Raw genomic sequence first — 15,137 nt, 5'->3', positions numbered from 1 at the left:
AATAATTCCCATAGAAACCCATAGAAATTCACACCCTTATCAATCTCTGTGGTTACCATACTTGTTTGCCAAGAAAGGAACCCCAGTATCAGCAGAAGTTCTGATTACCAAGGCAGCATTTGAAAATGCTCACTGTCTGTTTGGTTAAGGAAGAGAAGAGCTAGCTTATATTCATATTATTGTCTATCATCCCATGTTCTTTCTACGCTCTCTTGGATGACTTTCCCAGAGCACTCACCAGGAGTCAGGGTCTTTATGATGCTCTCCCAGCTTCGGGCCTCAACTCCACTCGTCAGTGGAGACCACCGCGGAGAAGCAGGTGGGGGCAGCAGAAGCCTTGAGGACAGGGCAGCTGGACCTTCAGTCTCTACTTGGGTGTCCTTGAAAATTCTGTTAACCAATTTGGAACCACTTTTCTCACCTACAGAATGATGGGTTGACTTGAATGATTTTTAACCTTATCTGGTTTTGAGTTTTGGCTATGACTCTTTCCTGATCGCATTCTCACTCGTGGATTTAAAACAGGCTTTAGTCTGAATTCTGTAGGCCAACCTAAGCAAGTTGAAATTAATGCTCTTTTATCCTTAAACTGTTAATGCATGGATGGGGCTTCAATGGATATTCCATCATCATAGTATTTGCATTGGGTACTTTTCCCAAACAGCGAGTGCTAATGAGTATGTCAGGCATCTTGGCAGGGCTTTTTGAGGAGATATTTTTCAACAAGGCTTTTTCTAGCCTATCATAAAAAATACAGATTCCACTTGGCAATCACAACCAAAGGCCAAGAATGTATTTGTAACGTCATAGCACTTATAGGTTATGCAATTGGATATTTTAGGGCTACGATATGAAATTTTTAATCATTCAGAAATATTTTGAAGAGAAAATTCCCATTCTCTTACTAAATTCATAGATGAATTTTCTTGGAAACTTGAATCTTCCACCCACTAGTGCACATTACCTTGCCTTCATTCACATGCATATGTACCCTATCAAATCCCCCACAGATTTGTAAGGGATTTTTTTATTGTTGCTATTGCTGTTTTCAAATTTGTAACCTGTGACTTATGGTGCCTTAATTAGACATCTACATGTCAGGTGATTGTTACATTATGATGGCAATAGCTGCTAATTTGAGCGTGAAAGTCTTGATGGAAAGGCAGTAGTCAGGGAGCTGACCTTTTGCTATTGAGGAGACTCCAGGGTGGGTTAATTCACACCCACCATAGTCATTAGTTCCCACTCTCCTCCGTCATATTTACTCCTACATAGTTTACTGAGCTGCCAATCAACCCTTAGTATCTGGATGAGCACACTGATGGGGAGGGGGCTGGCATGGCGCTTGCTTTCCTGCTGCAACCAAGAAATCATTTATAGAGGCAGTCTCTTTTTCAGTCTCCAGACTCAGATACTATTTATTTATTTCAAAATTAAATAAAAAAGAAAATAAGTAGTACACATCTTTTAAAAATTCAAATTACACGAAAAAGTATCCTGTACAAACTTCACACCTGTCCCTTAGTTTTCCAGTTCACTTCTTCCCCATTGATGCAGGTTTTGCATATTCTTCCAGAGATATTGAGACGATATGGCAAAGTTAAAAGCAAAGACACATTTTATGTTTCTCTCTAACTTTCCTTCTCTAGCTCTTTGCCTCCCTCTTTCCTCTAGTCCAAAGCAGTAATGATCTTGAAAACCATTAGGGGGCAGCTGTGACCAGAAAAGGAAACAACAAGCAGAAACGAGGAACTAAAATCCTAGAGGAAGAGAGATGCAAAAGGAAATGAAAGGAATGCTAAGCAGAGAGACCAGCCAAAGAGAAAAATGGAAAAAAGAGGAAGACGAAGAAAGAAAGAAACACAAGCATTATAAAACAAAAGGAAATGGAGAGCGAGGTGATGATATTAAAAAGCTAAAGGCAGCGTGTGTGTTAGGGGAGGGATAGCTTATGAAGGCCAGGGATTATCTGAGGTTTTGTTTTGTTTTGGTTTGATTTGTTTTTTTTTAAAGCAAACCTGTGGAACCCGATTGACTCAATGTTAGCAGAAAGTAGGAAGTTATCTTTTTCAGAACTGGAAGGCATTTATTGTGCTGGACTTTACATTCTTAGGACATGCTTCAAACTGAAGGGTTCTGAGCACCCTCTGTCCATTTGGGCTTGCGACGTGGCGGGCAGGATGGAGAGGAACAGCCCGCTTCCCTTACATCTTCAGAGTGCTTAGAAATGCTTTCAGGCCTCAGCAAGACAGCAAAATTAACCTGAATATAAAGGTGTAATTCTATTTCTCAGGGCAGCAGAGCTAAAAAACGAAGGAAGGGGCTTCTTTTGAAGCCGATGCGATAATCAAAGTGCTTTCAGGTGTACTTCGGGCATACCTCCCCTGGTTTCAGCAGGCTAACTTCATTAAAGCGCCTAGCTACTGCTTTAATGTTTTCTAGGCTTTCCCCCAGGGTACATTAAGCAGAAACAAGCTCTCATGGGAGCTTGTTCCCTGATGTTTTGCATTGTGGATGGAATGCAGGGGCAACATTTATGCTGGAATAATATTAAATGGGAAATCGTTTCTAGAGCACAATAAATATGATCACTTTCAGCTAGTAACCTCTTCTCTCTTTCTAATCCAAACTTTCCCTCCCCACCTTTAAAAAAGTGACAACAATTTTAGGAAACTCTGGTCTAGAGTCACCAGATAAAGCATGGACCATATGCCTCCATTTATTATTTGCTGAATCTGATTCAGAAGGTAGAATACTCCCCAAGCTGCCCCAAACTCTATGCCCAATGCTACTCATCAAAATTCAGTGAAAACTTTTATTTTAGGATCAAAGGCACCAGCTCTTGGTCACATTTGTTAGACTCATATATTTACTGAAGATCCAAGATGGGTAGAGTCTACTTTGGGTATGCTGGGGTTATAAAGAAAAAGCCTGGGGTGCACCTGCCCTAAGGAACCCTTAAGTCCTGGGCCAGATCAAACTGGGGCTTTCTCCAGTGGCCATTAGAGTTTTGATGAATTACGGTAAATTGCAATTTGACCTATTTTGAACAGTGGTCATTTTCCAGAATGTGAGGTTTCTCCTGTAGCTTAAAGTGAGAAGCTGTCTCTAATCCCACCTCTCTCTCTCTCATTCCCTTTTTCTGTGACATGGATTCCCAGAGTTGAGTTTCTAAACTGTTTTAAAATTCATACTGGAAACTTGTCCAAACAAAAATCTCTGACCAGAAGCAATTTGCTTCCCTTTAAAAAGTACCCTAAAGTTAAATTACATATTTACTTGACTTTGTGTTTCTTTGCTAGAATTTGGCAAGGATCTAGGATGTGAAAACATTTCCCATTTGATTTCTCATTTCATTTGATTATAACTTAGAAGGAATAAATGTAATTTTTGACCTTTCAACACACCTGGAAGTATGTGTTCCTCTTGCTGTATTTGACTGACAGTATTCTCATAAATAGTGTGGCTTCTCCAACACTGAGCTCCCTTACTCCTTAGAAAATGGAAGAGTTGGCTAGGCGCCATGGCTCATGCCTGTAATCCCAGCACTTTGGGAGGCTGAGGTGGCAGATCACTTGAGGTCAGGAGTTTGAGACCAGCCTGGTCAAGATGGCGAAACCCCAACTCTACTAAAAATACAAAAATTAGCCAGGCGTGGTGGCAGGTGCCTGTAATCCCAGCTACTGAGGAGGCTGAGACAGGAGAATCACTTGAACCCAGGAGGCGGAGGTTGCAGTAAGCCGAGATCGTGCCACTGTACTCCAGCCTGGGTGACACAGCAAGACTCTATCTCAAAAAAAAAAAAAAAGAAAAAAGAAAATGAAAGAGTTACACTTTAGGGGAGAGGAGTATTCTGGGGCAAGTCAACTTAATAATATTATTAGACTAAAAATATAAGACAACATATCATAGGGAACTCATGGCCCTCAACAGGGGTCAAGAGACCTAGACTCCGGTTCTGGCTTTTGTGTTGATGCTGTGTGCGCCTTGGCTACATCGTTTCATCTTCTTTTTCCTCCCTCATAAAAGGCAGGTTGTTATTCCACAGCAATGACCCTACCAAACTATTCAATCGAATCTACACTTGATAGAAAGCAGGGTCGAATCTACAGCCCTCCTTGTTAAAAAAAAAAAAATGTATGGAACATATGCTATATGCCAAGCTCTGCATGAGTGGAATAACAGCCAGTACATCTGTGAAGGTGGCTGTTCTCAGGAGCTTCACTTCCTTAAGGGAGAGACAGATAACACTCAGGACAGCAATGAGCAGGATCATTTCAGATGGTGATAATGAGTTCTAAGAAGAAAATAAGATAATGTGATAGACCAGGAAACCAGCAGTCAGGAAATCTGGTTTAGCCCTTCCACTAACCAAGGCTCTAATGTAAGCAAGTAACCTGGCTCAGGCTCAATCTCATCTTTAAGATAAGGGGTCATGCTGTTGTGTCACATTAGTGTTTTTCAGAGTTCAGACTGCCATTCGTTAATGGGTTATAAAACCAATTTAGAGAATTGTGATCAGCATTTTTAATGTAATAAATCAGAATAAGAGTATGTATTGTTTCATGAAACTGGTTTGTACATACATATATATATCCATACATATATAATATGTATATAAAAGGATATATATATGTAAAATATACATATAAACATACACAACTGTTCTGGGTCCCATGTAAAATATACTTTTGTGTGTATGAGTTGTCATAGATTAGATGACCTCTAAAATATTTTTAAGCTTTCCAACTCTGATTCTATTAAATTTTTATAGCAAGGGCCTAATGTAGCATAGTTTTTATTTGATTTTACTTATCATTAAATAAATGGTAGTATTGCTCTCATCAGAGAATTGCCGTGTTTAACTCAGTTTCAGGTACATGATTGGTGCTTGATAAATGTTTTTTGAATTAATGGAAATGAGATTTATACACTAGGTCTTAAAATAAATACAGCAACCTGATACGAATCACCAAAAAACTTACCAGTCAATGCATCAGAATAATTTACTATATCTTCCTAAATGCCAGCCATATAAACCAAATTCAAAACTTTATTGCCCTTTCTTTTTGTGATACTAGGAAAAGCCTTTCCTTAGAATTCTCAGAAACTCTGTTAATATTAAAAGAAAAAAAATAAGAGCTTAAAATATTCTTCCCCAAGAAAGGCAAACTGCTTTTTTCTTACTTATAACTGTAATTCAATAAACCTCTAGACTGTTTAAAGAAATAAAAGAATTAGTGCAGAAATTTTTCTATTTCTTTTCCTTGAGGACCCAGATAATTCTGCCTCCCTAAAAATTCCCCTGACCTTGCGAGTTTTAATTTCTTAAGCCACCTTTTTTTAGCATGCCAGTAATTTTACTTTAATGCAGACTTGTTCCTTAGTTACGGCTTAAGTAGTAGGCTTCTCAGTCTCAAAATTATTTTTTTAATTATACATTTGATTAGAGAATAGATGACCCAAGTCTTCCATCCTTCCTTTCCAGGAAGCCTTGTTGACATCCATTGGGATGGGAGAACCAGACCAAGGAGATCCCACTGAGGAATCAATGATACATCATCCTTAAGAAAGAAATGAGTAAATGGACCGTGCTCAGTGCCCAATGCACATTCCTATGAGTTAACTTTCAAGTGTATTTCCTTAATTGCCTGAAAACACATGGTCAGGCAAATTGACTTAGAGTTTAGCAGCGCTATACCCAATCTTCTAAATCCATTCCCTCCCACCTTCCCCAATGGGGCAGACACATGTATACGAAGAAGCAGCATCAGTAAACCGGCACCCTAGATGAAAGGCAACTGCTCATCCAGAAGGCACCAATAACACAGTCATGTTTCCATTAAGGGGCACCTTGGCTTATGCAAAACTGTACTTTTGAGATATGACATAGAAAATCACATTTTTGTGAATCAAAATGTAAATAATCTAAAAAAGGCACTATTTGAAGGGAGCCCAAATTTTTAACATGACTAAGGGCTCCAGAACTGATCAACCCTGTAAGTTTAGTTTGACATGGAATTAAGTATATTTGCTTGAAATTGGTTCTGAAACTATTATTTAGACAAAAACGTGTAAAAATCTTTGAAAGGCCTTTGTATCATTCTATGGTCTTTATTTGTATTGTCGTTATTATTACTCCTGTTATTAGTGATGAATTTGCCCAGGTCAGGGAAATTCAATGTATTTATGCTTTTCTTCACCTTGCCAACTGTAAGTCATATCAAATGCAAATCCATCCCATCCATTTCCCCAAGTAATTCCGATTTTTGTACATTTTTTTTCTTGCAGAATCTCTCATAGAATCATTTTAACAATTATACTCTGGTGAAGATATGCTAAGATTGGTAATTTTTTTTTGGTAGCTGAAGTTAACAGCACTTGTCATTCTGAGATACAACGCCCAACTGACACTGAGAAATGGCAGCTTTCAGTTAAACAAATGCAAAGCTGTATTTAGGCTCATTTGCAACATTGTCATGGGAAGAAATCAAAGCCTCCTCTGCTACTATTTAAAAAATCCTCACCAGGGCGATTCCATCAGAAATACTGTTACGATGGCTTTCATATCTTGATCCTTCATTTCCAAGGGTAACATGTTAGAAGAAACCCTAGATCCAATGAAAGTGATTTTTAAAAGTCAATTTGAACAAATGCTGCTGTGGTATTTGTTAGAATTTTTTAAATTCTCAGAATCTTTCAAAAGGTGATGGTGGGAGGTTTGTTTAAAGAAGGAGGCACGCACAGCCAGTGGAAAGAGTGTCAAGTCTGGGATCCTAACTAAGTGTTTCAGACAAGACCCTTTACCTTTTGCTAATTGCAAAATAAACAGATCCCCCTGCTCTAGAGTTGTTTAGACAGTCTTTCTGCCTACGGGTACGGGGATGTCAGTTTATTTGTCACACAAAGAGTTGTTGGCTGAGCAGGAAATTAAACTCTAAACTTCTGACACCAAGTTCTGTACTCTCACCAGAGGGCTACATTCAGACTCCAAACTCCAGCTCTTCCTACCTTTCTTCCACATGGTTTATTTACTCAAGTGTCTACAAAAGAACTTAGGAATAGATTACAAAATAAATCTTGCAACATACCACAAATTAGCATCAGCTGGCCAACATGGGGTCTGTCACCAGGATGTTGATTAAAAAAATATATATATATTTATCACTGTAGTAAAAACATGTTACCCTACAACAGCATTTACTAAGAACCTAATTGCTCCTGGGGCATAGTTGAGGCCAGGCAAAGAAACAACTCCTCCTTTAGTGTATCTGTAAGCATAGACATACCTAGACACACAGACTGCCAGTGAGCACCGGCGGGATGGGCCCAGGCATGCCCTATATGGATAGTAAGAGTAACACTACTGGGTGATAACTTGTCTATTGCTGTGTCAGATCTCTTTCAGGCACAAGAAGATAGGGTGTACTTAGGTGGGGAGAACCACTGAATGTTGTTTCCACTAGTTCCACTGGGAACTAAGTTAAATAAACCAACTAACCAACTGCTATCTAAGTAAGGACAAGTTGCCATTATTTGTCATGCAACATTCTCAAAAATCAGAATATTTCAAAGATTTTCTTGTAGAGAGGAACTTTGGAAACTGTACCAATATGTGGAAATTAAACAGCATACTTCTGAATAACCATTGGGCCAAAAAAGAAATTAAGGAGGAAATTAAAAAATTTCTTAAAACAAACGAAAATCAAAACACAGCATACCAAAATCTATGGGATACAACAAAAGCAGTGCTAAGAGGAAAGTTTATAGCAGTAAACACCTGCGTCAAAAAAGTAGAAAGATTTCAACTAAACAATCTAATCGTGTACCTCAAGAAAGGCAAGAGCAAACCAAACCCAAAATTAATAGAAGGAAATAGATAGTAAAGATCAGAGCAGACCTAAACAAAATAGAAATTTACAAAATACAAAGGATCAATCAAACAAAAAACTGGCTTTTTTGAAGAGATAAACAAAATCAATAAACTAGCTAGACTAACCAAGAAAAAACAGAGAAGACCCAATAAACAAAATTAGAAACAAAAAGAGACATTGCAATTGATATCACAGAAATGAGTCTCAAAATTATTTTTCAAAATAATACATTTGATTAGATGATCATCAGAGACTATTATGAATAACTAACAAACTGGAAAACCTAGTGGAAGTGCATAAATTCCTGGACACGTACAACCTACCATGATTGAAATAGAAAATGTGAACAGGCCAGTAATGAGTAATGAGATTGAATTCATAATGAAAAGTCTCTCCCAACCAAGAAAAGCCCAGGACTGGATGGCTTCACCGCCAAACTCTACCAAACTAACACCAATTCTCCTCAAACTATTTCAAAAAATTGAAGAGGAGGGAATTCTCCCTAGCTCATTTTATGAGGCCAGCATTACCCTGATACCAAAACCAGACAAAGATGTAACAACAACAACAACAAAACTACAGACCAATATCCCTGGTGAATATGATGCAAAAACCATCAACACAATACCAGCAAATCAAATCCAACAGCATATCAAAAAGATAACATACCATGATCATGTGGGACTTATCCCAGAGATACAAAGATGGGTTAACATATGCAAATCAATAAATGTGATATATCACATCAATAGGATGAAGGCCACAAACCATATGATCATCTCAATAGATGCCCCAAAAAATGGATAAAATTTAACATCCGTCTCTGATATGGTTTGGCTTTGTGTCCTTACCCTAATCTCATCTTGAGTTGTAATCCCATAATCCCCACGTGTCATGGGAGGGACCCAGTGGGAGATAATTGGATTGGAGGGGCAGTTGCCCTCATGCTGTTCTCATGATAGTGAGTGAGTTCTCACGAGAGCTGATGCTTTTATAAGTGTCTGGCATTTCCCCTGCTTGCACTCATTCTCTCTCCTGCTGCCCTGTGAAGAGGTGCCTTCTGCCATGATTGTAAGTTTCCTGAGGTCTCCCCAGCCATGCACAACCAGGAGTCAATTAAGCCTCTTTTCTTTATAAATTACTTAGTCTTGGGTATTTCTTCACAGCAGCATGAGAAGGGACTAATACACTCCCTTCATGATAAAAACTCTCAACAAACTAGGCATAGAAGGAACATTTTCAACACAATAAAGGCCATATATGGCAAAACCACAGCTAATATCATGGGGAAAAGTCAAAAGCCTTTTATCCAAGAACTAGAACAAGAGACGAATGTCCACTTTCACCACACTTATTCAATGTAGTTCCTGAAGTCCTAGCCAGAGCAATCAGATAAGGGAAAGAAATAAAAGGTGTCCAAATTGAAAAATAAGAAGTCAAATTATCCCTCTTTGCAGATGACATGATCTTATATCTAAAGAAACTTAGAGACTCCACCAAAAAGCTCTTAGATCTGATAGATACATTCAGTAACGTTGCAGGATACAAAATCAAAATACAAAAATCAATAGCATTTCTATACATGAATAAATGAACTAACTGAGAAACAAATCAACAAGGCAATCCTATTTACAATAGCTACAAAAAATAAAATAAAATACCTAGGACTAAATTTAACCAAGGAAGTAAAAGATCTCTGCAAGGAAAACTACAAAACACTAATGAAAGAAATTAAGGGTGACACATACAAATGAAAAGACATTCCGTGTATCTCATTCCATGTTTATAGATTAGAAGAATTAATATTGTTAAAATGACCACTACAAAGCAATCTACAGATTCGATACAATCCCTTTCAAAATACCAATGTTATTTATCACAGAAATAGAAAAAATAATCCTAAAGTTTGTAAGGAACCAAAATGAAGCCCAAATAGCCAAAGCAATTCTGAACAAAAAGAGCAAAGCTGGAGGCATCACACTACCTGATACATTGCAAGGGTAGAGGAGGCAACACAGCGTGGTATTGCTATAAAAATAGTCACATACACCAATGGAACAGAATAGAGAACATAGAGATAAATCTATGCATGTACAGCAAAACGATTTTCAACAAAGATGCCAAGAACATAAACTGGGGAAAGGATATCTTCTTAAATAAATGATGCTGGGAAAATTGGATATCCATATGCAGAACAATTAAACTGGACCCCTGTCTCTACAAAAATCAACTCAAGGTGGATTAAAGACTTAAATGTAAGACCTAAAACTATAAAACTACTAGAAGAAAACATAGGGGAAACACTTCAGGACATTGATCTAGGCAAAGATTTTATGGCTAAGACTTCAAAAGCATAGCCAACAAAAACAAACATAGACACCTAGGACCACAATAAACTAAAAAGCTTCTGCACAACAAAGGAAACAAAACAGAGTAAAGAGACAACCTGTTGAATGGGAGAAAATATTTGCAAACTATTCATCTGACAAGGGACTAATATCCAGAATATACAAGGAACTCAAACAACTCAACAGTATAAAAATAAATAATCCCATTAAAAAGTGGGCAAAGGATGTGAATAGACATTTCTCAAAAAAAAAAAAAAAAAAAAAAAAAGACATAGAAAGGCTGGGCGCAGTGGCTCACGCCTGTAATCCCAGCACTTTGGGAGACCGAGGTGGGTGGATTACGAGGTCAGGAGATCAAGACCATCCTGGCTAACATGGTGAAACCCCGTCTCTACTAAAAATACAAAAAATTAGCCAGGTGTGGTGGCGGGCACCTGTAGTCCCAGCTACTTGGGAGGCTGAGGCAAGAGAATGGCATGAACCTGGGAGGTGGAGCTTGCAGTGAGCCGAGATCGCGCCACTGCACTCCAGCCTGGGTGACAGAGAGAGACTCTGTCTCAAAAAAAAAAAAAAAAAAAAAAAAAAAAAAGACATAGAAGTGGCCAAATTTGAGAGATTTTGAAGAATGCTGAGAAATGAGAAAATGTTCAACATCACTAATTATCAGGAAAATGCAAGTCAAAGCCACAGTGAGATATCATCTTACTTCAGTTAGTTAGAATGCAAATTATTAAAAAGATAAAAAGTAACAGATGAAGGATGTGGATAAAAGGGAATTCTTACACACTGTTGGTGGCAATATAAATTAGTACAGCCACTATGGAAAACAGTATGGAGAGTTCTCAAAAAACTAAAAATAGAACTATCATATAATCCAACAATCCCACTACTGGGTATTTATCCAAAGGAAAGGAAAGATATGGAATCAACCCAAGTATCCATTAATGGCTGAATGGATTAAAAATGTGGTATATATGTACAATGGAATACTATTCAGCTGTAGAAAATGAAATTCTGTCATCTGCAGCAACATGGATGGAACTGGAGGTCATTATGTTAAGTGAAATATGGCAGGCACAGAAAGACAAATATCACATGTTCTCACTCATATGTGGGAACTAAAAAAGTTGATTTCATGGAGGTGGAAAGTAGAATGATAGATATCAGATGCTAGGAAATATATATAGGTGGGCTAAGGGTTATGAAGAGAGGTTAGTTAATGGATACAAATGTATAGTTAGAAAAGTTCCAATGTTTGATAGTAGAGTAGGGTGACTATAGTTAACAACAGTGTATTGTGTATTTCAAAATAACTAGAAGAGAGGACTCGAAATGTTTCCAACACACAGAAATGATAAATACAGGTGCTGGATACCCTAAGTACTCTGACTTGATCATTACACATTCTATGCATGTAACAAAATATCACATGTACCCATAAATACGGACAAATATTATGCAGCAATAAAAATAAAACATATCTCCTTGTGAGTTTGTTGTCTCCTAAAAAAAATTACTGTGCTTAGTTCAAGGCAGGACATGGCAAAGCTTTAAGAGATAAGAAATCTACTTCCTGTCATTCACCAGCCTGGCAAGCAAGTTTTTCTTGACTTTCTGGATTTCTGTTTCTTCCTCTATAAAATGAAGGGGTTGGAATCAATTGTTCTGTCTAGAAGACTGGTCTTCATTCCACTCCATGGTTCTATGAGGCGGGAGCTCACTGAACATTTGTTTAAACAGCCCTCTCTCAATGTGTGTTCTTTCATGAGGTGGTTGGCTTTATATGATTTCAATGGTTGGCCATACTTTGGAAGAAAGAAACTAGCAATTTATAGGTTAGCATCCTTTGTCCCAAACAGCAGGATTAGGCACCGGGGCGGGAATGCAAACATCATGAGGGTCAAAGGTCATAACCTTTCTGGGTGGAAACCAAGACAACTGCATACCTAAATGGCACTAGGGTCTTGAACTGGGCCAGTGGTAAGGTCCCCTCTTGCCAGAATATTCTGTGAGTCATAGGCTTGGGGGAGAGGAGCTCCTTGTCTGATCCATCAGAGGAGACTGGGTGGGGTATGCAGTGTTCAAACTGGAGTTCTTTATGTAACTATAGAAAGCTTGCACTGTTTGGCCAGACGCAGTGGCTCACGCCTGTAATCCCAGCACTTTGGGAGGCCGAGGCAGGCAGATCACCCGAGGTCAGGAGTTCCAGATCAGCCTGATCAACATGGAGAAAGACCGTCTGTATGAAAAATACAGAAAAATTGCCAGGCATGGTGGCGCATGCCTGTAATCCCAGCTACTTGGGAGGCTGAAGCAAGAGAATTGCTTGAACCCGGGAGGCAGAGGTTGAGGTGAGCCGAAGTCACACCATTGCACTCCAGCATGGGCAACAAGAGTGAAACTCCATCTCAAAAAAAAAAAAGAGAAAGTTTGCACTGTTCACAATAGCAAAGACGTGGAATCAACCTACATGCTGGGATAAAGAAAATTTGGTACATATACACCATGGAATACTACACAGCCATAAAAAAGAGTGAGGTCATGTACCCTGCAGCAACATAGATGGAGCTGGAGGCCATTATCCTAAGTGAATTAATGCAGGAACAGAAAACCAAATACCACATATTCTCACTTTTCAGTGGGAACTAACTATTGAAAACACAGGTACACAAAGAAGGGAATGATGTACCCTGGGGCCTGCTTGAGGGTGGAGGGAGGGAAGAGAAAGAGGATAAAAAAAAACTACGTATCAAGTACTATGCTTATTACTTGGGTGGCAAAATAATCTGTACACCAAACCCCCGTGGCACACAATTTACCTATGTAACAAACCTGCACATGTACTCCTGAACCTAAAATAAAAGTTAAAAAAAAAAAAAAAAAAAAGACAAGACAGTTTGGTAAAGGGAACCATGAAGGTCCTGGTGCATAGAAGCATTGTTTTGGGGATGATCTCAAAGTGTCATTGTGTGGCAACAACCCTGAGCTATTTCTCTACATTATATGGGGGCTTAAACAGAATTATGAAATTGTGCACCAACAATAAGGAACAGTGCAATGCCGGGAGAAGCACACTTGGACATAAGATTGAAAATGCTCATCTGTACTGAGCATCTTCTGGGCAGGAGGATGGTCCTGAGAGTTATAAAGAAATAATGGCACTTTTGGAAGAGAGGAGGAAGGTGGTGGTGGTGGTGGTGGTGGTGAGACAGTTCAACAGATGTGGATGATACCCTGCGCAGGGCTCCCATATGACTGAGTGGCAGAAATGAATTTACTTATCCACTGCAGTCCAGGCAAAACAAATAAACAAAAACTGGAACACACACATACACACACACACACACACACACACACACACACAGATAAATCTTAAAAGTGCAACCACTGGGCATGTCTTCCAGAGACAAGTTAATAGGAAAGCAATGCATACATAACCAAAGGTGGTGAAAGAGACAGATAACATCTTAGCATAGGAAGGAACAGATCTGGGTGTGGTGGCTCACACCTGTAATCCCAGCACTTTGGGAGGCCAAGGCGGGCAGATCACCTGAGGTCAGGAGTTCAAGACCAGCTTGGCTAACATGGTAAAACCCCGTTTCTACTAAAAATACAAACAATTAGCTGGGTGTGGTGGTGGTGCATGCCTGTAGTCCCAGCTACTCAGGAGGCCGAGGCAGGAGAATTACTTGAACCAGGGAGGCGGAGGTTGCAGTGAGCTGAGATCACACCATTGCACTCCAGCTTGGGCAACAAGAGTGAAACTCCATCTCAAAGAAAAAAAAAAGAAGGAACAGAAGCTTTGCTAGCAGGGAGAATATGAGTCTCACCTGTAAACTCAGGGAAGTCCATTGGCAGAAGGTAAACTCTTTTAGTGTGAGATGTCTGATTTATGTTAAATATGTGATCATAACTGAAGAAATTCAGAGCGAGAGCAAATGAAAGCAAGCTGCCTCCTGCAGTCAAGACCATGCTATGTCTTGCCATCCTTCCCTCACCATAAGGACTTGAGGCCTCCCCTTACCTCATCCAGCAAGGGAAATGGGAGCAGGCAAGGACATCTGTGTATCACACCTCTAGGCACTAGAGGAGGCTTTGGGAAGGATAACAGCATGGAAAAGAAGGGGAGGTAGGAAATTTGGGAGAGCAGAAAAAAGCGAACCCAGGTGCTATGTGAGTGTGTGTGGATGGTGAGGCAGACAGTGAAGGGGGTGGCATGACGAAGGGACAGGAAAATCTATGGAGGACACTCAGTGCTTCTGGAAGAAACGGCAGTGAGCTGATGCCCCCCACATCTGGACAGTGAAACTCTATGATAGGTTATAATTGGTGTAAACAAGTTAGCTCCTCTATGGGAGTCTTCCCCAAACTATAATGTCATCAACTGAGGTTGATTGCTTTATTGGTCCCAATTCACCTCACTCACTGCAAAAGGATTATACATCTCTCCTTTGCTGGATAGAGTAGTATCTGTCCTTCGCTAAGCTGTAGTGTTCGTCCCCACCCCTTTGACATCAGACAGGGCCATATATGATGTGCTTTGGCCACTAGAACGTAACAGTGACATACGCCACTGTGAACAGATACTAGGAGAGCTATCATGAGGTTTGGACACTGCTCTTTGCCTCTGTCATGACAATGGCATGTACCAGCCAAGGGATCCTTATCAGCCTGGATCCCCAGCAGTTGTGAGGGGGAAAGTTGGGCTGCAGACGGGCCATGCTATAAGTCCCAGTGCCTTTGTGCTGTAAGTCACTGAGGTTTGGGGGTTCCAGCAGCATAGTCTAGTGAATGCAGACTGACACACCAACTTTGCATTATGTGGATGTTCCCTGTGATGCTGGAACAATGCGACAGGTGGCACTTTTCACAGTTCTGAGGGATTGTGTGCCATTGGCAGAAGAAGGTGCCCTTG

The sequence above is a fragment of the Homo sapiens genome, chromosome 2, assembly GCF_000001405.40.
Source record: "Homo sapiens chromosome 2, GRCh38.p14 Primary Assembly".
Classification (NCBI taxonomy): domain Eukaryota; kingdom Metazoa; phylum Chordata; class Mammalia; order Primates; family Hominidae; genus Homo; species Homo sapiens.
Note: the sequence above shows the minus strand (reverse complement) of the source record.